General features: G+C 42.4%; 1 protein-coding gene and 2 long non-coding RNA genes across 6 annotated transcripts in view, besides 4 other annotated features; 2 read left to right on the forward strand and 1 right to left on the reverse strand.

The window, feature by feature from the left end:
* Positions 6,868 to 8,067: an enhancer, noted in NCBI's record as "MED14-independent group 3 enhancer chr17:26360641-26361840 (GRCh37/hg19 assembly coordinates)". NCBI's record gives its function as "activates an origin of replication core promoter dependent on BRD2, BRD4, P300/CBP and CDK7 cofactors, and independent of MED14, by STARR-seq in HCT116 cells {active_cell/tissue: HCT116}" and the evidence as "EXISTENCE:reporter gene assay evidence [ECO:0000049][PMID:35650434]".
* On the reverse strand, positions 7,393 to 14,973 carry LOC105371709 (uncharacterized). The gene is made up of 3 exons (XR_934637.4): positions 14,850 to 14,973; positions 14,479 to 14,657; positions 7,393 to 7,714 (listed from the first exon to the last, which is right to left on the reverse strand). It is a non-coding gene; the product is annotated as an uncharacterized LOC105371709 (long non-coding RNA).
* Positions 14,376 to 14,670: an enhancer, noted in NCBI's record as "tiled region #3957; HepG2 Activating DNase unmatched - State 4:PromP, and K562 Activating DNase matched - State 1:Tss". NCBI's record gives its function as "activates a minimal TATA promoter and a strong SV40 promoter by Sharpr-MPRA in HepG2 and K562 cells {active_cell/tissue: HepG2 | K562}" and the evidence as "EXISTENCE:reporter gene assay evidence [ECO:0000049][PMID:27701403]".
* Positions 14,838 to 15,067: a silencer, noted in NCBI's record as "silent region_8332". NCBI's record gives its function as "represses an Ori minimal core promoter by ATAC-STARR-seq in GM12878 lymphoblastoid cells {active_cell/tissue: GM12878}" and the evidence as "EXISTENCE:reporter gene assay evidence [ECO:0000049][PMID:35858748]".
* Positions 15,088 to 15,317: a silencer, noted in NCBI's record as "silent region_8333". NCBI's record gives its function as "represses an Ori minimal core promoter by ATAC-STARR-seq in GM12878 lymphoblastoid cells {active_cell/tissue: GM12878}" and the evidence as "EXISTENCE:reporter gene assay evidence [ECO:0000049][PMID:35858748]".
* The window catches only part of NLK (nemo like kinase), a 163,398-nt gene continuing 155,819 nt past the window's right edge, over positions 15,930 to 23,508 (forward strand). For all 4 annotated transcript variants that reach the window (XR_934482.2, XR_001752526.3, NM_016231.5 and 1 more), the window contains exon 1: positions 15,930 to 16,584. Coding sequence is in view for 2 of the 4 variants with exons in the window: in NM_016231.5 (NP_057315.3) it covers positions 16,127 to 16,584 (458 nt within the window). In the remaining 2 variants the exon portion in view is untranslated. The remainder of the gene's footprint in view (positions 16,585 to 23,508) is intronic.
* LOC102724517 (uncharacterized) lies at positions 16,591 to 22,179 on the forward strand. Its single transcript, XR_001752820.2, has 2 exons — positions 16,591 to 20,084; positions 21,170 to 22,179. It is a non-coding gene; the product is annotated as an uncharacterized LOC102724517 (long non-coding RNA).

The following is a 23,508-nucleotide window of genomic DNA, read 5'->3' on the forward strand; positions in this document are numbered from 1 at the left end:
TCCTCCCACCTTAGCCTTCTGAGTAGCTAGGACAACAGGTTCATGCCACCATGCATTGCTTACTTTTTGGTTTTATTTTTTGGTAGAGTTGGGGGTCTCTTTATGTTGCCCAGGCTGGTCTTGAACTCCTGGCCTCAAGTGATCCTCCCATTCAGCATTCCAAAGTGCTTGGATTACAGGCATGTGCTACTGCACCCAGTCCAGACATTATAAATGTCATTATAAAGTGAAAAGCGTATTACTAAAAAAAAGCAAGAGGAGAGAGAGAATATTTTTTGAGTGTCTAACATGTGTCAGACACATGCAAGCAAACCAAATATCATTCACAATAACCTTCAAAACTAGCTATCCTTATTTTATGAGTGAGGAAATTGATGTAGAAGATAGAGAACCAGAACAAGATCACATAGCTGGAAACTGACAGAGTTCAAGTCTATTTGAATCTGGAACCATGCTTTCTATATAACATCACTACGGAAAAGAGAACAAGACCTAGAGTCACACTGTCTTTTAGCATGGTGAAATATAAACCACTGGAACCAAAAGTACTTGCAGGTTAAAACTAAAGGGGGGCTTCTTAAAGTTGATAAATACCATCTATGAAAAACCTACCAATAACATTATTCTGAATGCTGAAAGACTGAACGGTAGAAGACTGTTTCCTAAGATTGGGAACAAGGCAAGGAAGTTTTGCTCTCATCACTTTTATTCAACTATTCATTGGAGGTCCTAGACAGTGTAATAAGTCAAGAAAAATAAATAAAAGGCCTAAATGTTGGAAAGGAAGACATAAAACTGTTTTTATTTATAGATTAATAAGATTAGAGAATCCTCAAGAACCTAGAAAAAAGCTACTAGAATAAATGGATTTAGCAAGCCTGCAAAAAAAATCAAGTGTGTTTCCATATACCAGCAATGAACTACTGGAAAATAAAATTTAAAAACCAATGCCAGCCTGGTGTGGTGGCTCACACCTATAAATCCAACACTTTGGGAGGCTGCAGCTGGAAGATCAATTGAGCCCAGGAGTTCGAGATCAGCCTGGGTAACATGGCAAGGGAGACCTCGTATCTATAAAGACAAACGAACAAAAAAGAATCCACAGCTCATGGAACTTAAAATATTTATTGGATTAAATTACAGCTCAATAAAGTTGATTTTAAAAATAAAAAATTTTGCATTGAAAATTTTTTAAATAAATTCCTAGTTGTGTCCTTGTACTAGCAACTGTAAAGAAAGACTTGCACAGACCCGGTCTCAGGTTGTGCACATGTGCTCTTTATTTGGAAATGATGGCCTACGCAGGTAAACAGAGGTAAAATGTCTGACCAAATAGAAGAAATGCATTGTTCCAAGATTTGATTTTTATTGCTAGACTACTGCTTAAAATCTGAACATATCAACAACAGGTTTTGAAGGCAGGAGACAAGAGTAAAGTCACAGGGATAGTCAATGGAGAGAATTAATGAGGCCATGAGAATCTCATATAGGGCAGTAGGAAAGTCATTAAATGCTCTCCTATCTTCTATCTTGAAAGGATTCCTGAAAGGGCAAGACTGAAGGCTTTAGCAAGAGAGGATATGCACACTCTGGCAGCCCAGAGTTCTGAGGTTACAGTAGGCATTTCCCAGTCCAGGAGAGTAAAATTAAACAGAAATATTGTGTAATGGATGGACCCATTGTAGGCATGTATCCTAAAGAAATACTGGGCCAGGCATGGTGGCTCATGCCTGCAATCTCAACACTTAGGAAGGCCAAGGCTGGAGGATTGCCTGAGCCCAGGAGTTCAAGACCAGCCTGGACAACACAGTGAGACTCTGTCTCTACAAAAAACTTTTAAAAATTTCCCAGGTGGGCCCAGCGTGATGGCTTATGCCTGTAATCCCAGCACTTTGGGAGGCCGAGGCGGGTGGATCACAAGGTCAGGAGATAGAGACCATCCTGGCTAACACAGTGAAACACCGTCTCTACTAAAAATACAAAAAATTAGCCAGACATGGTGGCATGCACCTGTAGTCCCAGCTACTCAGGAGGCTGAGGCAGGAGAATCACTTGAACCCAGGAGGCGGAGGTTTCAGTGAGCCGAGATCGTTCCACTGCACCCCAGCCTGGGCAACAGAGCGAGACTCCCTCTCAACAAGAAAAAATTACCCAGGTGTGGTGGCATGTGCCCAAAGTCCCAGCTGCTCAGGAGGCTGGGGCTGGAGGATTACTTGAGCCCAGGGAGTTGAGTCTATAGTGAGCAAGGATAGTGCCACTGCACCTCAGCCTGGGCCATAGAGCTAGAGCTGTCTCTTAAAAAAAAAAAAAAATTGTACCCCTGCATAAGGAAACATGGATGGGAATACTTATTGAAGAGTTGCTTGTAAAAAAAAAATGAGAAATGAGAAAGGATTTAATGAAGTAAGGCACAAAGTCACATCTGTTTTGGAGCGGATCCTATCAGTTCCCCACCCATATGACCTAGCACTTACCATGTCTGTGTGTGTCAACTGACTTCCAATTGATAGCACAAGCATCTCCTTGACTGAAGGCTTTTTCTGGCCACCAGAGCCCTCTCTGCCCAGATGCAAGGCAGGCCAAAAGTCCCTGAGTCAATGTGCCTCTGAAGTAGCCCTTGATCAATGGCAGATGGAAGTCAGTGGATAAATACTCCAGCTCTCTTTAGGTAGAAGTGTTGGACAGTTGTGTGCTACATTGGCTCCCAGTTTCCCCATGGAGTTGAGCTCTGGTTTTACATACAGTGATGACTTGCTTTGAAAAACACCCTTTATTGGCTTCCTTCCCTTCCCTGTCTCACTTCCCCATTACCCTATTTTCTGGGATCACCTCCCACATAAAGTAATCACACTTAAATCCTGTCTCAAGGTCACCTTTCAAATTCAGCATTATGAAAAGAACAAAGCACATTAATAAATAGATTATGAAAATATCCTCATAACATATTGTTAAGTGAAAAAGCATTTTATAGAACTATGTGTATAGTATAATAGCATGTATTTTGAAAACACAAAAAATAGAACCATGCTTTTTTTTTTCTTGAGACAGAGTCTTGCTCTGTCATCCAGGCTGGAGTGCAGTGGCATGATCTCAGCTCACTGCAACCTCCGCCTCCTGGGTTCAAGTGATTCTCGTGCCTCAGCCTCCCAAGTAGCTGGGACTACGGATGTGTGCCACCACACCCAGCTAATTTTTGTATTTTTTGTAGAGACAGGGTTTCATTATGTTGACCAGGCTGATATAGAATTCCTGAGCTCCAGCAATCTGCCCACCTCAGCCTCCCAAAGTGCTGGGATTACAGGTGCAAGCCACAGCACCCAGCCGAGAACCATACATTTTAAAATGTGCATGTGTGTGTGCAAATGCCAAGAATCTTTTCATGAATTACTTGTGATTTTATTTTATTTTATTTATTTTGAGACAGGGTCTTGCTCTGTCACACAGGCTGGAGGGCAGTGGTGCAATCACAGCTCACTGCAGCCTTGACCTCCTGGGCTCAAGCTATTCTCTTGCCTCAGCCTCCAGAGTAGCTGAGACTACAGGTGCCCACCACCATGCCCAGCTAATTTTGTTTTTATTATTATTTGTAGAGACGAGGTCTTGCCATGTTGCCTAGGCTGATCTCAAACTCCTGGGCTCAAGCAATCCTCCTGTCCCAAAGTACTGGGATTACAAGCATGAGCCACCTCACTCGGCCTACTTGTGTTTCTAAAAGTAAATTTAAAATACTTTATAATGGATGGAAGAGCTCAGTTTACGTCAGCTTAAACCAACACTGGGCACTGGGGACGCCTAGCAAAATAGGAGCCAAGTCTCTGCCCTTGGGGAGCTTGTAGAGCATTAAAGGCAACAGATGAGTAAACATTTGCAAGGCCAGGTGACAAGTACCATGACAGACAAAAGCAGAGTGACTGCAGTAACCCAGAGGTGGGGCCTGGCCAGCCATCTGCAGAAAAAATTCATTCCTCTCCTACCTGCCCTGCAGCCTTAGGTACACTTCAACCCAAATCACTAGAGCTCAGTCAGCAGAGCTAAAGGTATAACAATTAAGAATTAAGCAAATCAGGTACTTACCACCCAGTCAGAATACAGTTTTAATGGAAGGATAATGACATCCCTGGAGGAATGTCCTGGAGCAGAAATTTATCAGTGTTTCTAGCACCCCCAGGAATTTCTAGTGGACAATTACATTGACACATCGCCCCTAGCTTTTCAGATCTCTCACCAGCCTCCGGACCTCCCACCCCTGCCCCATGCTCTGAGACCAGCCCACTGAGCAACCTTCTGCTGAGGATTTAGCTTTCCATGGAGGCTTGCTAGGGGAAGAAAGTGTATTTGAGGAGGCAAGTGTTACAATCCAGCTGTCACTGGAAGGCAATCAACTGGCCGGTTTCTTGCCTCTGGGACCTTATTACAAGGCCCATTAGCCCAGTGGTTCCCAACTTTGCTGCATATTAGAATCTACTGGGGAGCTTTTAAAAATCCTGATGCCTAGGTCACACCTCATACCTACTAAGTTGTGTGGGAGGCGTGGGGGTGACCAGGCAGTGGTGTGCTAAAGCTGGCTGCTACCTGGTTCTGGAGAACCTATTGTGTACATCTCTTCCCCATTCTGTCTTCAATGATGTCATACTAGCAGCTTGAAATTAACCATGGCTGGACGCGGTGGCTCATGCCTGTAATCTCAGCACTTTGGGAGGCCAAGCTGGGTGGATCACCTGAGGTCAGGAGTTCGAGACCAGGCTAGCCAACAGGGTGAAACCCCGTCTCTACTTACAAAAAAAAAAAAAAATTAGCTGGGCGTGGTGGCACACACCTGTAATCCCAGCTACTTAGAAGGCTGAGGCAGGAGAATTGCTTCAACCCGAGAGGCAGAGGTTGCAGTGAGCCGAGATCGTGCCATTGCACTCCAGCCTAGGCAACAGAGTGTGACTCTGTCTCAAAAAAAAAAAGAAAGAAAGAAAGAAATTAACCATGATAGAAGTTTTTATGCCATGGATATAAATCAGGGCTTTCTTTTCTTTCTAAACAGCCAATTCTTAAAATATTTACCAGCATACCACTGAAACCAGGCATCAGTAGTTTTTGAATATCCTCAGGTGATTCCAATGTGAAGCACAGTCTGGAAACCACCACTGTCTTAGTCTTTTCCAAATAATGCTCATTGTAGTCTTGGATAATTTGGTTTCACCTGCTAACCCTAGCAATCAATATTTAAGGCTGTGGCTCTCTAATCTGGGACCACTGTCTCTGCGGACTTTCAGCGAGGACAACCTTTATTCTGCCATGGAGGCTGAGCTCTGTAACGTGGTATATTGGGGTGGATAGGTGGTAATTTTGTGTATGGTTCATTGCTGCCCTTTTGATGAAAAGTATCTTGTTGTATTTGGATTCTAAGCTGAAAATAGATCCACAGAATATTGTCTGTATAACATTATGAAACATTCCTCATTTTACTGCTGTGTCCAATGCATGTGAGTTATACTTTCATTTACTAAGGCTTAAGAAGCCAAAGTAATAAAGGGCACCTACAAATGTTAAGCATAACAATTTTGTAATCTATTTTAAAATTTTCTTTTTTAATAACTTTAAGATAAAATGTTCACCACTCATCTAGGAAGAAGGAAGTTTGGGACATCGTCTGACTCACATGGCCAAGGACATGGGTCAGGGCTGAGGTTTGGTCCTGGGGTTTGGAGCTGGGATAAATAACCCATCCAGGGACTGAAAAATGGAGAGGGGTAAGATGAGGCCAACATCCTGAGATACATGCAAAGGGAATTCTCCTGGGGCTCAGAGCCTGTGTTGTTAGGATGGGAAGAGGCCCAGTTGTAGGGGAAGAAGGACCAGGTGGTACGTGAACTTAGATTTGTCTGGCCTCACCCAGTCCCCAGCTTGTTGCCATGTCCTGTCTCTATCTTAGTTGCTATTGGCTCCCTGACTGATTCTTCCACTGTCTTGTCTGGCTTCTCTTGTTATACCTTCCAGTAGCTGATCCTGAACATGCACGTTGTCCTTCAGCAATACCAAATGCCTATGAGGTTTGTAGCCTTGCTCCCACTCTCTCTTATCGAGCCTCCACCTTTGCTTTGGCATTGATGACTTTATCCCCTGTCACGAAACTGATGGAGGGACTGTAGGGGCTCAGAAAAATGGATGAAGGAAGATGGGAGAAGCATTTTACAATTTACTAAGATTAAAGTATCACATCTCATCTCCCCAACCAACTCCCCAAACAGAAGAGCACTGGAAATAGAGATACCAGGAAAATAATGACAAGTAAGCAACACACAGAAGTGAGGAAAGAGGCCAGGTATTGTGGCTCATGGTTGTCATCCCAAGACTTTGGAAGGCTGAGGCAGGAGGATTGCTTCAGCACAGAAGTTTGAGAACAGCCTGGGCTGTTTCTCTAAAAAGAAAAAAAAAGTGAGGAAGGGAACTACCTATCCCAAGTGGCCACTCTGTGTCAGGCATTGTGCTAGATATTTCATATAGTAATATATGACCTTAGTTAATTTTCTCAATATTACCTTCTACTGCAAAATAGGTGTTATTATACCCATTGAACAGATGAGGAAGCATGCTCAAGTGTCTAGTGCCCAAGGTCAGACAGCTAGAAAGTTTTTCACGGCATCACATAAATAAGATTATATAAATAAGAGTGTATGTTTCAAATAAATATTGCAGACATTGAATGTCTAAATTCTTCAGGGGAGAGAGAGATCCAGAGGGACTTGTATCAGGAAAAATGCTTCATGAAAGTTCTGAGGCTACAGCCCAGTGCAGTGGCTCATGCCTGTAATCCTGGCACTTTAGGAGGCTGAGGCAGGCAGATTCTAATGAGCAACAAGGCAAAACCCCAGCTCTACAAAATACAAAAAAATTAGTCAGCTGTGGTGGCACATGCCTGTAGACCCAGCTACTCAGGAGGCTGAGGTGAGAGGATCACCTGAGCCCAGGGAGGTCGAGGTTCTCAAAAAAAAAAAAAAAGACAACAAAGAAGAAGATCTGAGGCTCCAAGAGCAAAGCCTTAAAAGTGAGTAGAACTTGGGTAGAAGAAGAGGTAGAAAGATAAGCCAGGCCCGAAGCATGGAGACAGAGAATGGACGTAGTGTGACCCAGAGGAATGTGTGTGCTAAAAGGTCGGAGGTGATCCTCTTGCCTTCTGCTAACAGTTTTGGGTAAGAAATGTTAAAAAAGTATCATGCACCCAGTGAGGGAGGCCCCTGGCTGCCAGGCTTGAAAGGGTAAGAATTCTCTGCCTGTCCTTCCTGGTACTCCATAGCATCACTTCTTTGCCCCTTCCCTCCAGCTGTGGGTTACAGTGGGAAGTGGGCCAGCCCCAGCTTTGTCACTCACGAGATGTGTGAGATTTGATAAGGTACCTTGACTTCCCGAGTCTGTTTCTTCATTTGCAAAATGGGACATATTGACGATTGATCACATGAGATAACAGGTGTTGAGCACCCAGCACTGTTGAATGTGAGTTGCTCCTTTTGTAGTCCTTTAATATTCCTGGGCCTGGCCCAAGTTCTGCAAAGTCTTTGCAGACAACTCATGGGGTGAGCCAGTTCTTGGAAGAAAGGGAAGATCACCTCCCACTTCCTGCACATTATATTCCTGCTTATGCATTCTGATGTCCTGCTTGCTTTTTTAGGCTCTAAGTGCTATCCTGCTGACTCACTTCCGACTTCTCGTTCTTCATGCTCAGCTCCTGAAAATGGAACAAAATGGAAAAGGCCGGAAATTGTACTGTCTGGTGATGTGTTTAAGGGGCCAGCCACTCCACGTGGATGGAATGCTGGGGACATGAACTGAGTGGTGCCCAAGATGATTTCTCCACTGGACACTTGGGACACTTTGCCTTCGATTGTAATACCTGTACTAATAATAACCATCCCACTTACTGCTAGCAAGCCCCAGGCTATGTGCTTTCCATGGATTGTCTCTTTGAATTATCACAACTGCATCTGTCAGGGAACCTCTCTATTTTACAGACAAGGAAATTTTTCACACTAAGATAGGTTAAGGAACTTGCCCAAGGTCACATAGCTGGTAAGGGACAGATTAAGGATTCAAACCCATGATCTAGATTTGGGCTGTCTAATATAGTAGCTACTAGCCACATGTGGCTAGTGAATTTTGTTTTCCTTTTTTTTTTTTTTTTTTTTTAGATAAGGTCTCACTCTGCTGCTCAGGCTAAAGTGCAGTGGCATGATCATGGCTCACTGCAGCCTCAACCTCCCTGGGTTCAGGTGATCCTTCCACTTCAGCCTCTTGAGTTGCAGGGACTACAGGCACATGCCACCATGCCTGGCTAATTTTTTTTTTTTTTTTTTGATAGAGATGAGGTTTCACTATGTTGCCCAGGCTGGTCTTGAACTTTGGGCTCAAGCGATCCTCCCACCTTGGCCTCCCAAATTGCTGGGATTACAGGTGTGAGCCATCACACCTGGCCTCTTTTAACTTTTTAGTGTGACTACTAGAACACAAAATTTCATATGTGGCTCTCACATTTCTCTAGGACAGCACTGATCTAAATCATGAACATTATTTTTTTTTATTATACTTTAAGTTTTAGGGTACATGTACACAATGTGCAGGTTAGTTACATATGTATACATGTGCCATGTTGGTGTGCTGCACCCAGTAACTCATCATTTAACATTAGGTATATCTCCAAATGCTATCCCTCCCCCCTCTCCCCACCCCACAACAGGCCCCTGTGTGTGATGTTCCCCTTCCTGCGTCCATGTGTTCTCATTGTTCAATTCCCACCTATGAGTGAGAACATGAGGTGTTTGGTTTTTTGTCCTTGTGATAGTTTGCTGAGAATGATGGTTTCCAGCTTCATCCATGTCCCTACAAAGGACATGAACTCATCATTTTTTACGGCTGCATAGTATTCCATGGTGTATATGTGCCACATTTTCTTAATCCAGTCTATCACTGTTGGACATCTGGGTTGGTTCCAAGTCTTTGCTATTGTGAATAGTGCCACAATAAACATATGTGTGCATGTGTCTTTATAGCAGCATGATTTATAATCCTTTGGGTATATACCGAGTAATAGGATTGCTGGGTCAAATGGTATTTCGAGTTCTAGATCCCTGAGGAATCGCCACACTGACTTCCACAATGGTTGAACTAGTTTACAGTCCCATCAACAGTGTAAAAGTGTTCCTATTTCCCCACAGCCTCTCCAGAACCTGTTGTTTCCTGACTTTTTAATGATCGCCATTCTAACTGGTGTGAGATGGTATCTCACTGTGGTTTTGATTTGCATTTCTCTGATGGCCAGTGATGATAAGCATTTTTTCATGTGTCTTTTGGCTACATAAATGTCTTCTTTTGAGAAGTGTCTGTTCATATCCTTTGCCCACTTTTTGATGGGGTTGTCTGTTTTTTTTCTTGTAAATTTGTTGGAGTTCATTGTAGAGTCTGGATATTAGCCTTTTGTCAGATGAGTAGATTGCAAAAATTTTCTCCCACTCTGTAGGTTACCTGTTCACGCTGATGGTAGTTTCTTTTGCTGTACAGAAGCTCTTTAGTTTATTTAGATCCCATTTGTCAATTTTGGCTTTTGTTGCCATTGCTTTTGGTGTTTTAGACATGAAGTCCAAAACCTCCTTAAGCTAATAGGCAACTTCAGCAAAGTCTCAGGATACAAAATCAGTGTGCAAAAATCACAAGCATTCTTATACACCAATAACAGACAAACAGAGAGCAAAATCATGAGTGAACTCCCATTCACAATTGCTTCAAAGAGAATAAAATACCTAGGAATCCAACTTACAAGCGACGTGAAGGACCTCTTCAAGGAGAACTACAAACCACTGCTCTATGAAATAAAAGAGGATACAAACAAATGGAAGAACATTCCATGCTCATGGGTAGGAAGAATCAATATCATGAAAATGGCCATACTGCCCAAGGTAATTTATAGATTCAATGCCACCCCCAACAAGCTACCAATGACTTTCTTCACAGAATTGGAAAAAACTATAAAGTTCATATGGAACCAAAAAAGAGCCTGCATTGCCAAGTCAATCCTAAGCCAAAAGAACAAAGCTGGAGGCATCACGCTACCTGACTTCAAACTATATTACAAGGCTACAGTAACCAAAACAGCATGGTATTGGTACCAAAACAGAGATATAGACCAGTGGAACAGAACAGAGCCCTCAGAAGTAATGCCGCATATCTACAACCATCTGATCTTTGACAAACCTGACAAAAACAAGCAATGGGGAAAGGATTCCCTATTTAATAAATGGTGCTGGGAAAACTGGCTAGCTATATGTAGAAAGCTGAAACTGGATCCTTCCTTACAGCTTATACAAAAATTAATTCAAGATGGATTAAAGACTTAAACATTAGACCTAAAACCATAAAAACCCTAGAAGAAAACCTAGGCAATACCATTCAGGACATAGGCATGGGCAAGGACTTCATGTCTAAAACCATGAACATTATTAAATGATCATCAGACCAATGATTTCCCAATGTTTTTGATAAATTTTTGAGCACAACTCCTCAATTGTGTATTCTTATTTATTCATAAATGTTATACATTTGTGCTACTCTGTAATATTATGTACATTATAAAACATTGACAAAATGGATATTTTTAAAAGATGAAATTTAAAAAATGAAATAGAAATTGTACTAATTTCTTCCAGGAGCCTAGTGGGTCACTTTGTGCACCCCCCACCATGGTGTGCACACACCATTTTGGAAATTCTTGCACCAGAGAGACTTAGAGCTCCTGGGGGCAGAGACTTTAATACAGATGATCCCTGACTTAGGATGGTTTGACTTATGATTTTTCTAGTTTACCATGATTTGAAAGTGATGCCCATTCAGTAGAAAGTGTACTTTGAGTCCCCTTTCAATCACTCTGCTTTTTTTTTTTTTTTTTTTTTTTGAGACAGAGTCTGGCTCAGTCGCCCAGGCTGAAGTGCAGTGACGTGATCTCGGCTCACTGCAAGCTCCGCGTCCTGGGTTCACGCCATTCTCCTGCCTCAGCCTCCCAGGCCGGCTAATGTTTTGAATTTTTAGTAGAGACGAGGTTTCACCACATTAGCCAGGATGGTCTCTATCTCCTGACCTCGTGATCTGCCTGCCTCAGCCTCCCAAAGTACTGGGATTACAGGTGTGAGCCACTGCACCCGGCCTCAACCATTCAGCCTTTCATTTTCACTACAGTATTCAATAAATTATGAGATATTCAACATTTTATTATAAAATAGACTGTGCTAGATGATCTTGCAGAACTGTAGGCTAATGTCAGTGTTCTGAGCACGTTAAGGTAGGTTAGGCTACGATGTTCAGTAGGTTAGGGTATTAAATGCATTTTCAACATACGATGGGCTTATCGGGACACAAACTCGGCCAGGCGCGGTAGCTCACGCCTGTAATCCCAGTACTTTGGGAGGTCGAGGCGGGCGGATCACAAGGTCAGGAAATCGAGACCATCCCGGCTAACATGGTGAAACCCCATCTCTACTAAAAATACAAAAAATTAGCTGGGCGTGGTGGCGGGCGCCTGTAGTCCCAGCTACTCAGGAGGCTGAGGCAGGAGAATGGCATGAACCTGGGAGGCGAAGCTTGCAGTGAGCCGAGATTGCGCCACTGCACTCCAGCCTGAGCGACAGAGCGAGACTCCGTCTCAAAAAGAAAAAAAGAAGGGACACAAACTCATCATGAGTCCAGAAGCATCTGTACATCTATCTCCTCTCCCCCACAGTTGAAGTTAGCACCATGCCTAGATATAATTGGTGCTTAATACATGTTTGTGGAAGGAATAAATAACTCTTAATGTACAATTGTTTTCTCGTGGATTAGATTAATTTATTTATTTCACATGTATCAAGCACTTTCTATGTATTATTATAGTACTATACTAAGCGCTGAAAAAGAAAGTTTACAAAGACTAAGCTCCTTTACTCTAGGCCTGTGCTTCTTAAGCTCTAGCGTTTGTAAGAATGACCTGGAGAGCTTGTTAAACAGATTCCTCCTCTCCTCCTCCAATTCTTATTCAGTAGGTCTGAGGTGAAACCAGATAATTTGCTGAACATCTAAGAAGCTTTTAGGAAACTACACTTTGGAGGAGAGTGCTGTGCATTGGAAAATTGGAAACATCTCAAATATTACATGAGGGTGAGTGTTGAAGAGAATTTATATTGCATTTTCACTATTTGCCAAGCACGTTTAAATACATCACCTCATTTAACCCTCATATAGACCTCATGAGTCATGTATTATTTCAGTTGAGGCAACTGAGATTGAGAAAGGTTAGTTAAGTTGCCTAAACTATAGAGTAAGTAAATGGCAGAGCTTGGGTTTGTACCCACTTCTGCACTCAGTAATTCAGGCAAATCTGTAGCAAGTGTCTTCTTTTTTTTCAGGCACTGTCCTAAGGAACTGGGCATACAACATTGAGTGAGACAGACAAGCTCTCTGTCCCCGGTCAAACTCAACAAGCACTTAAAATATCGATATGAGGGAGGCAGTGTCATGGAGATATACAACAGAAACGTATACTCTAGAACAGAGTTAGAACTTTCCAGGAAAAAAAGTAAAATTTACACGAAGACCTGAGGGATGAATTAGAGCAGTGAAGGATGAGCGGGAAATGTTTTGGGCTGAAGATATACATGAAGGCTTGAAAGCATTCAAGGAGCTGCAGGAAGTTCAGAATGTCTGAAGTGTGGAGTGGAAGGGAGAGATAAGACCCTTGAGGTAGGTAGGCAGGAACCAGATCATGCCAGGCTATTTAGGGGTACAGCCAGCCTTTTTTTTTTTTTGACAGGATCTCACTGTCACCCAGGCTGGAGTGCACTGGTGGGATCTCAGCTCACTACAGCATCTACCTCCCTGGCTCAAGCTATCCTCCCACCTCAGCCTCTTCAGTAGCTGGGTCTAGAGACATGTGTACCACTAATTTTTGTATTTTTTGTAGACACGGGGTTTTGCCACATTGCCCAGACTGATCTTCTGAACTCAAGGGATCCACGTACCTTGGCCTCACCAAGTGCTGGGATTACAGGTGTGAGCCACTGCCCCTGGTCTCAGATTTGTATTTTTAAAAATTTACTATGCCCCCAGAGGGGGATGGATCAAAGGAGAGCTAGCTTGCAGGCAGGGAAATGGTTAAAGATGTTAGTGGTGTAAATTTGGGTAAATGCTGTGTGACTGGGAAGTAGCAGAAGTGAGGGGGATTTAAAATTGTTTAAGACTTGATGATTCAGCCTGGGCAACATGGCAAAACCCCATCTCTACAAAAAAATACAAAAATTAGCCAGGTGTGGTGGCATGTGCCTGTAGTCCCACCTACTTGGGAGGCTGAGGTGGGAGGATCATCTGAGCCCAAGAGGTGGAGGCTGCAGTGGGCTGTAATCATGCCACTGCACTCCAGCCTGGGCAACAGAGACCATGTCTCAAAAAAAAAAAAAAAAAAAAGAAGACTTGATGACTGATAGATTGGAAGGGACAATGTGGACAGGCAAAGGAGGGATCGAAGATGACTTCCAAGTTTTTGAGTAAACTATACAGTTTCAGTAGGGATAAGGTTCTGTAAGCTTATTATTTCACATTTTAAAGGAAGGGTAAATTCAGATAAATGAAGTGATGGAAAGATGCTATTTTAGTAAGATTTCAATGACAGAAACTTACTTGATAGAAAATATGGGAGAGGCTGGAGGCGGTGGCTCACGCCTGTAATCTCAGCACTTTGGGAGGCCAAGGTGGGAGGTGGGAGGATCTCTTGAGCCTAGGAATTTGAGACCAACCTGGGCAACATATTAAGACCCTGTTTCTAAAAAATTAAAGAATCAGCCGGGCATGGTGATGCACATCTGTAATCCCAGCTACTCGGGAAGCTGAGGCGGGAAGATTGCTTGAGCCGGGAGTTGGAGGTTGCAGTGAGCTAGGACTGTGCCACTGCAGTCTAGCCTGGGTGACAGAATGTGACCCTGTTAAGAAAGAAAGATAGAGGAAAATTATTATTTTTGTGGTCAAGTTTACTTTTTTTGTTTTAATTTGCACCAACAGCTTTATCATTTGTCGACAGTGGAGTTCTGAATGCCAGAGATTCCTCCTCTTTTTGCCAAGATCAGGATTAACTATGGAGAGGACCGGCCGTAGACTACGAACTGTCAGTCTACTGAGTTTCTGTCAGTCTTTTGAGTTTCCTTTGTCTTCTTGTTGAGTGACCTTGGACCTTGAGTTTCTGAAGCTCAACATTCCCTTTTTCTTCCCCTATTTTTTACCCCACACTTTACATCTTAAGTGGGATATTGGACATCTCGGATCAGTGGACCAGTGATGATTTGGACTCCGCCTTCTTCGTCTAGGTCCCGCCCACTTTAAGACCCCACCCCTTCCCTAAGCCCCGCCCCTTGAAGAGGTTGTCTCGATATGACAGCAAATTCTCCACAATCCTGTCCTATAGGAGATCTAAAGGGTGGGACTTACATCAACCTTTTTTTTCCATTTGTTTTTTCAAGTGTCTATTTGGCCCAGGTTCCATCCCACTTCATTTTCAACCCAAGGATTGGTTACTCTGTTCTTTGTCTCTGGCTCATGATTGGTTCTTTCGTTCCGCCCCTCTCTTCCAGCTTTTGCAGGCGGGATTACCACGCAGCTTCCTGCTCCTGCCAAAAAAAAAAAAATAAATAATAAAAGAAGAAGAAGAAAAGAGGAGAGAGGCGAAAGAAAAATGTCACAAAGATCTTTGCTTTTTAATTGGCTTTAAGCCTTGTCGGTCAAGCCAAACTCTGCCTTTGATTGGTCTTTCTATCTGCCCATCCCGGATCGGGGGCGGGATTTCCCCGGAAGACCCACACCTTGTTGCCACTGGCCGAACAGTGCGCCTGTCTGAAGCTCCTGGCCCAGGATTGGAGGCGGTGGCGGACAGGTGGGCGTGGATTGGCTAGGGCAGCCGGTCCGTGCAAGGCGGGGGCGGGGCCTCGGCGGCTGGTTGCGCGTGTCCGACGCTGGCTCCGCTCTATCCGGCTTTGCTAGGGGAGGTGAGTCCGGCCGCGGCGGAACCGGCGGCTGAGGAGGCGGCGGCTGAGGAGAAGGCGGCCGCGGCGGCTGAGGAGAAAGCGGCCGCGGGGACGGAAGCCGGGTGGGGGGGAGGGGGGGAGACGGAGCAGCCTTGAGCCCTGCGGGGCCGTTGCGCGGGGGACCCACCCGCTCTCCCCCCCAACCCTCCTCAGCAGAAGCAGCCGGCGGCGGGGGCAGGAGTCAGCCCGCTTCCGACCGTACCCCGCCCGCCTCCCGGGGCTCCTGTTCTTTGGCCCCGGGACCCTAACCTTCTCCCGGGGCGGTTCCCTCCGTCTGGGCGTCCGAGCGCTGCCCACATCTTTCATTCCTCCCTGCACCTCCTTCCCTTCACTTTTGCCCCGGCTCTCTTTCTCCTCTCTGTCCTGCTGTCGCCTCCTCTCCTCACTCCAGCCTCCTTCCCTGGCTTATTCTGCCCAGGAAAGTTTGGAACCCCCGCCCCCCCTCCCCAATCAGGTCAACCTGACTAGGAGTAGGGGGAGATGTAGGAAGGCCTGAGAGTTCGGGGGGGGGGAAGCTGGAAGCTGGTTTCCCAGAAAATTTCCCCCCATCTTCTCCATTTAGGGTGGTGGGAATTTTTTTTAATCCTGTTTTTGAGGAGGTGGTAGGTGTTTAGAAAAGGATGTGGGAATGGAAGGGGTAGATGAGTCAACCCTCTTTCAAGATTCCAAGGGTGGTGTGTTACCTGATCCTTTTCGTGTGTGGAGTTCAGGGGGTCGGGAGGTTTGGCCTTTATTCCCACATTCAAAGTTGGAACCTCCCCCAAATTAAGAATGGAGTTTTAGTACCCACTTGTGGCAGGAATCCTGGGGGGAAGGGGTCCTTTTTTCCTTTTTCTTTTCTTTTTTCCCTTTTTTTTCCTTTTGGCAACCCACACCCTTCCACACACGCTCACCCCAAAATTAAACACCAAGATCCTCTAACTTGTTTGGATTGACTGATGAAGACATAAAGCTCTATGTTTTTTGAGGTGGAGTGAGTGGTTTTTCTTCATTTTTAAATGGCCAAATGACAGCTTGACCCAGTTTGCTTTCCAATCAAAGGGCATTTATTTTGAATGTCTCTTTGTGGCGCAAGAGCCAACGCAAAAATGATGGCGGCTTACAATGGCGGTACATCTGCAGCAGCAGCAGGTCACCACCACCACCATCACCACCACCTTCCACACCTCCCTCCTCCTCACCTGCACCACCACCACCACCCTCAACACCATCTTCATCCGGGGTCGGCTGCCGCTGTACACCCTGTACAGCAGCACACCTCTTCGGCAGCTGCGGCAGCCGCAGCAGCGGCTGCAGCTGCAGCCATGTTAAACCCTGGGCAACAACAGCCATATTTCCCATCACCGGCACCGGGGCAGGCTCCTGGACCAGCTGCAGCAGCCCCAGCTCAGGTACAGGCTGCCGCAGCTGCTACAGTTAAGGCGCACCATCATCAGCACTCGCATCATCCACAGCAGCAGCTGGATATTGAGCCGGATAGACCTATTGGATATGGAGCCTTTGGTGTTGTCTGGTGAGTATCCAAAGAAAAACACAACCTCTCATGGTTTCTTCTGTTGGTTGTCATTGGATGAGTCCATCTCTAATGGTTGTCTCCATGTTGACCAAGGTGCAGCAAGCTTCTCAACCCAACTGTAGGAAGCCACCCTCACTTATGTGGTAAAGAGGCCTAATGCATTGGCTGTCTAGGCTCATGGCAAGTTTTGGTGGAGCGCCTTCTCATGAGCAACACACATAAGTGTGCTGTCTACCAAACTTTTCTATTAGAACCTAAGCAAGCCACTGAACACAGGATCAGTAGATGAATGTATGCAATACTAATTCCTACGAAGACCTTGGTCATCTCGTGTGTTTGATTCAGTGGCCCTGTGGCATTAAGTGTTAGCACCTGATCCAGACTGAATTCCTTTATAATACTCTTGTCATTAGGATATACTTTGCATAACTACTTTCCTGTCCTTTCTGTCTTTTCACTTATTTTGTGATCTTGATCTCCAGAAGAAAGATAGGATTCATAGTTGAACCAGTTAAGATCATTGCTTGAGTGGTTTATTTTAAACCATAAAGCTACAGTTGAGAAGTATGTAGCTGTAGCCTTTTGATAAGAATGCATTAAATATAGCATCACACATGAGTACCACAAATGAGGTTAGTAGACTAGCTATGCAGTGGCCCACATTCAGTGTAATGTTTTAGTGTCATTTAGTGCCTCTTAAGTTGCTGTTATCTGTTGGTCAGTTGCTGTAGTAGGAAATAATACTTTTTTAACAAATGACCCTACCTTTGCTAGTGCTAGGATATTTGTAAAAGCCTAAGGGCTTCTTAAATATAACATTTTGGTCTATTTGGTCTAACCTTAGAAAGATTAGTAGTTTATAATAAAATATGTTTGTTCCTATCAAAACTAGAATGAACTGGGTTTTCTCCCAAGGACTAATGATTCCACTTTGGATAGATGAATTGATATTTTCAGTGCATTCAAAAATTGTTACTCCCGAGAAAAGCGCCCATTACCACAGGAAAATGAACTCTTTGGAACTAGCCCGGTAAATATCTCCTTTCGTCATTGTTTTTGAGGCTAAAATTGATGGGTGCATTGTTTATGCATTTTAACTGGCCATCTTATTTATATTTCAGATTTGATAATCTAGGCTGCTAAGTGATCTCATCCATTTTTTAAAAAAACTAGTAGAGTCCAGTGTTTTCTCAGCTAGTCCCCAAGGAAGTTTCTGCTGCAGCGTGGTCCTTTCTTCAAGGTGTGTGGGATTCAAGGTGGAAAAGAGTATAGCTGGTAATGGTGCCTTGGTCATTCTGCTCAGGGACCTGCCTGTTCCTGCCTTCCTCTCTTCCCTTCCACAGACTATCTCAGAGATTTAACTGTGAACTTATCCTTGCCTAACTCTTGAGGATTTCCAAGCTTTGGTTGGGGGATGGAACAGACAGGAAAACGGTTGTTCCTTGGTTTAAATTTTGTCATTGATTTACTAATAACTTTTAGCACTTGTTTGGATCTTCTTAGATCTGGATGCTTACTTTCTTTTTTAGTGCCTTACATACAATGCTAAAAACTAGGGATACTGAAAGGGAAATGGGTTGCAGCATTCTTGAATATATTCAAAAGGCATTTTTCACTTACATTTCTATCAAAAAGTGATGTGACTTGTAGCAGTTTTTATTTTATTTATTTATTTTTTTAAGGAAGGGGGCAATAAAGAACTGGAGTGCTGAAACATCTCACACAGCAAACGTTCTGCTAGTGGGTACTATGAATCTTTGATATCTGAAAGCCCACATATATTTGGTTTGAAGCCATTCTAGAGGTTTTTAATTGATTGACTGCTCTACCACCTATGGAGTTTGTCTCATGTACTTAAAGTACACCTCTGTGCACCATCTTACTTCAGGTTTGTCTTGTGTCACTGACTACATTCGTAAGCCCCTTGAGGGTAAGGATTGTCTACTGTAGTAATCCTTTTCTCCTCAGCGCCTAGCACAGTGCTTTGGCATCTTTGCTGCTTGGTTAATTGATCTAGTCAGGTCCTTCTTTGTTTTGGCTTAAACAACAGAAAATTATTTCTCACAGTTCTGGAGGCTAGAAATCCAATATCAAGGTACAGGTTTGGTTTCTTTTGAGGCCCCTCTGCTTGGCTTGTGGATGGCCGTCCTCCTGTGTTATCACGTGATTCGGGTCTTTGTTTTTTTAACCAAGTTTTTCTAGTTAACTGCATTGAGTGTTTTCATCAGCTGTTACAGGTGAAATACAATTTGGTATGAAAAAGGAAAGAGTTCCAGGTGTATGTTTTAGTATGCAAATGCTTTTCTATTTTTATATTTACATGTCAATGACTTGCTGTCTGAATTCCTTATTATATTTGAAATTTAACTGTTGTATGACCTAAGTAAGACTGTTTAGAGATTTGAAAACCAAACTACCGGGAATTGCACTAATATTCTGAAACCCAAGGTAAAGATATTAGTGAGGTTTTTTACTTTTTAACTGAAACAGAATGTATCTTTTTAATTTAGGAAGCACCTTATGAATTGGAAACAACTTTTTTCTAAAATGATTATAATGGAACATAAAAATGTTCTCCCAGTGATGCATCCTTTGATTGAAACCGCCATGTAACTAACTACCGGGGTATTATAAGATTCACTTAATTCAAACATATATTCATTTAATGCACTTTGCAAGTATTCTTCTGGAATAGCATATGACAAGAAACTGTATTTGCCCACATTTCCTTGGGGACATACACCCAGGGGTACTAACTGATGGCTAAAAAAGTGGCATGCAATTTTGAGAGAGATTGTTGTTTCTCCATGTAGACAAGGAGAGATATTTGTAGAAGTGATGCAGCATTTTACCAGATTTATCACTGAACAATTTAGTCTAGCTGACTTGATTTATCTTTCTGTTGAATTTAACTAGTGGAATAACTTATCAGTATTGGACAGTTGTGTAAAAGTAGTGAATTACTCATTAGCTTGCTGGTAAGGATGGTGCTGTGACAGTTCAATTAAGGTTTCATTAACAACTGTCTGCTGTATTTTATCTCAAAGTAAGAGTTCCAGTTTACCTGGTAATGTGATTGTGGGATAACCTGAGATAACATTTGTTGCCACTGATAGAATGTTGTTTATGGGTTATCAAGATATCATATACAATTTGACCTTCTTTTTGAGACATTACAGCCTCCAAACACCCACATGGACATTTTCATAATGCAAAAACAAAACACAAAGCAACCCACAAATAGTAACTTCAGTCATTTGGTGAGTAATATAAATCTACCTTTTTGTCTGCAGTTCACATTTGCCAGAGGAAAATGCTGTGGTTAAAGATGTAACAACTTTGGGACAAAGAGTTTCAGGGGCTCATAATTTTGAGAGATGGAGGAAGTTGACCGCATGAGAGTGGTTTGAGGATCGCTGTGCCTAGACCGTTTTTGACATTGGCAACTTAACATATCAGAGATGGAATTAATGGCACATATTGCCACCTTGGTAAAAGTGAGTCTGGGAAAAGACTTTTTTATAAAATTAGCATTTTGGTTTGTGACTTGCCTGATTAATTAAAAGATCAAAAATCCTGGGATTCACTTGCTCTGTTGCCTTTGTGTACTCCAAGTAATGTTGGAGGTCTTTGAATTTTATTATTCTAATAACTTCAGCAGGTTACTTTTATCTGTCTTTCAAAACTGTAGTGATAGTTACTAGCTCTGTGATCTCGATAAATTATTTGACTTCTCTGTTCCTCATCTATAAAATGGGGATAATAATAGTACTTATCTCAGGATTGATGTGAAGATTAAGTGAGGTAATTCTTGTAAACCAATGATTACACTGTCTAGCACACAGTAAGCATCAATAAATGTTAGTTGTTTTTATTGTAGTTATTGTTGGTAGAAAAATCAAGCTGTTGTGTTAATGTGCATGGAAGTGTCTTCATAGATTGTCAGATTTATCAGGTGAAATCAGCATGCAGACTATTTTTGGAGGCATGACTCTAAATAACGTAGCGTGTCCCCTCAGTTGTACTGTATGTCAGGGAGATTTGAAAATGGTTGAATTTAAAGCCAAGGGGAAAATACTCTGTGCTGTCCTGTCAACTAATTAAAAACAAATAAAAATAATACACATTTGTATGGACTTTGTAGGTGTTTTAGTCAGATCATCTGCACTGTTTTAGAAAGTATTATGGATTTATATACTGGGAAATTAATTTTTTCTTTTCAGAATGTAACAAATGAAAGACATCCTTATTGTCGAAGTAGAGATTCACTTTGCTTATGTTTGGATGAAAAAGTGTGAATTGCTAAAGATCCCAGTGAGGTGGGAGAAATATAGTGATTTAACAAAAAAATTACTCAGTATAAGCCCTTGTGCATGGTAGAGATTGTCTAGCTTGCTCATCTTGTGAACATGAGAGGCATCTTTTTTTCTTATGTTTTGTCTGGTCCTCTTACTCCACATAACAAACTAATTTGGAAAAATGCAGAATGCTTTTGGGATATGTTTGGGGAAAATCCTGGAGTAAGTTGCATCAGAAAGAGTAGTATACTAAAGGGTATTTTGTTATTAACTGTGTTTTACAGGTTGAGAATCTGTAGTACTGAGAAGTTTCTCCACTATCAGCCGAGATTAACAGCCACAGCTGGATTCTTTGGGGGCTCTGCTTTGTGAAAAGAGCTTTGAAGAAGCAGAGCCTGCACCATAAAAAGGAAACGGTTGCTCTTCTAGACATAACAAAGCATCCGTATGAAACTAGAAATGTGGAAATCTGTATTGTTAATTTTAACTACAAACGAACTTACTTTTGGAAATTACAGGTTCATGATCATAAAGTAGATAAAGAGTAGAGAATAAAAGTAACAATCTGATGATTCTGCACCCACTTCTTGGTGGTTGAAACTCCATAGCCTATAACGTTGCAAGTCATTTTGTACTTAGACTCCTGAAAAGATTATCCAAATTATGTTCAAAAAACCACAGCACAAAAAATAAACTTGTTTTATTCTTGGGGAGAAATTTCATGTTATACTGTCCAATATTAATTTAGAAAAAAAGACAGTTTTTTTTTTTAAGGCATTTCAGAAACATTGCCCTTTCAAGCAAGTTAGAACAATATCCCTCAACATTAAATACCATCTTTTTAGCCATCAGTACCACTGGGCATGTGTCATAAAAGAGAAATGGGGGCAGATATAGCTCCCTTTCATATGCTATACCAGAACAAAAATTTGTAAAATGCATAAGTGCATTAACTGAATATGTTTGAATTTAAATTCTGGGTTTTTACCTTCAAAGCACAGGCAGCTGTAGATACAAAAAGTCCTCTAATGGAGTACTGGAATGTTTCATTGTCTTCACAACTTGGAGTGTCAGAGTTTTCTCTGCCTTCTATATTGTAAAACTGAGTGACTATTCTTGGTCGTTTTTATTAGATTTATTGATGTCCAAGCAATACAAGAATTAACTGTTCATATACTGTATGTTTCCTTAACATGCTTATTTGGTTTCTTTGATGGAGATTGTCAAGGCCAAAGAAACTTTTTCATTTGTCATCCAACCAATAAATGGACAGAAGCTGTTAGAAGCTCTTTAATTATGCGTCTCTTTGGGTTTTAATTCTGAGTCCCTGTGCCTCTGTGCTACTCCAGTGAATTATTTGTTGATTGGGCCATCTAATACAGGTCAACAATAACTAAAATAGCTTGTCAGTGTGATCCTGATATTGCTTGGAAGTAACAGAGTGTCTGAGGCAACAGTTGTAACACTGTCAGTGAGCACATAACAAGTCATGATAGACATAGTCAGTAGTTGTAAGGTACCTAGTGCAGAAACAGAAAAAACTGGTACTCTGGCATTATGGAAAGATGACTTCTAAGTGAACTCTACTGAGATTGAACTTTAACTCTTAGTTGTAATGGTGTGAGTAGAGGGAGTATATATGGGGATGTCTGCCACTCATAATGATTGGTGCTCTTTACCTAAACCCAGTTTTGAAATAATTTGGCTAATTGAGTCATATCTACTATGAGGCAGTGAAAGTTTTTAACACCTTTGGAACTCACTAGTCTATATATTTTTATTGTCACTTCGCTGTGGACCAGCACTTTTGCAAGCACCAAATGGGGATATTTAGTCTTATAAATAATTTTGCGAACCTCTATTAAGCTGCTGCTGCTGTTGTCTGTATTGTGCTTAGTACTGAGGTATAGGGATGTTTAAGTCACCATATTGCTTTGGAGGAGTTGACAGTCAAGTAAACAATATGAACAATGAAACATGCCTACTCTCAGGGTGTCCTCAGCCTTGGTGGAGAGGTGAAACTAAATTTGAAACCATTAAATAAAAACTTAAGAATATATTATTTTCAGGCCAGGCATGGTGTCTCACGCCTGTAATCCCAGCACTTTGGGAGGCCGAGGAGCGGTTCACCTGAGGTCAGGAGTTCAAGACCCTCCTGACCAACATGGTGAAATCCCGTCTCTACTAAAAATGCAAAATTAGCTAGGTGTGGTGGCACATGCCTATAATCCCAGCTACTTGGGAGGCTGAGGCAGGATAATCACTTGAACGCAGGAGGCAGAGGTTGCAGTGAGCCAAGATCGTGCCGTTTCACTCCAGCCTGGACAACAAGAGTGAAACTGTGTCTCAAAAAATATATATATTATTTTCACTTGTTCTTACAATATTCAATTATTGTATGTTACTATTTGCCAGGCACTGTGCTGGAGATAAGGATTAAAGGTGATTATGACCTACTGGGTGAAATAGATTTGTAAATGGATTATTATAATTCATTGCCATAAATGCAGCAATAGAGATAGTCCCTGGACATTAAGGGCGTGTAGAGGAGGGATTTCTATGGAAGGTCAGGATGCTTCCTAAAATAGGTAATTCTTCAATGAGTTTTAAGAATGAGAGTCAA

The sequence above is a fragment of the Homo sapiens genome, chromosome 17 (assembly GCF_000001405.40).
Source record: "Homo sapiens chromosome 17, GRCh38.p14 Primary Assembly".
Taxonomy (NCBI): Eukaryota; Metazoa; Chordata; class Mammalia; order Primates; family Hominidae; genus Homo; species Homo sapiens.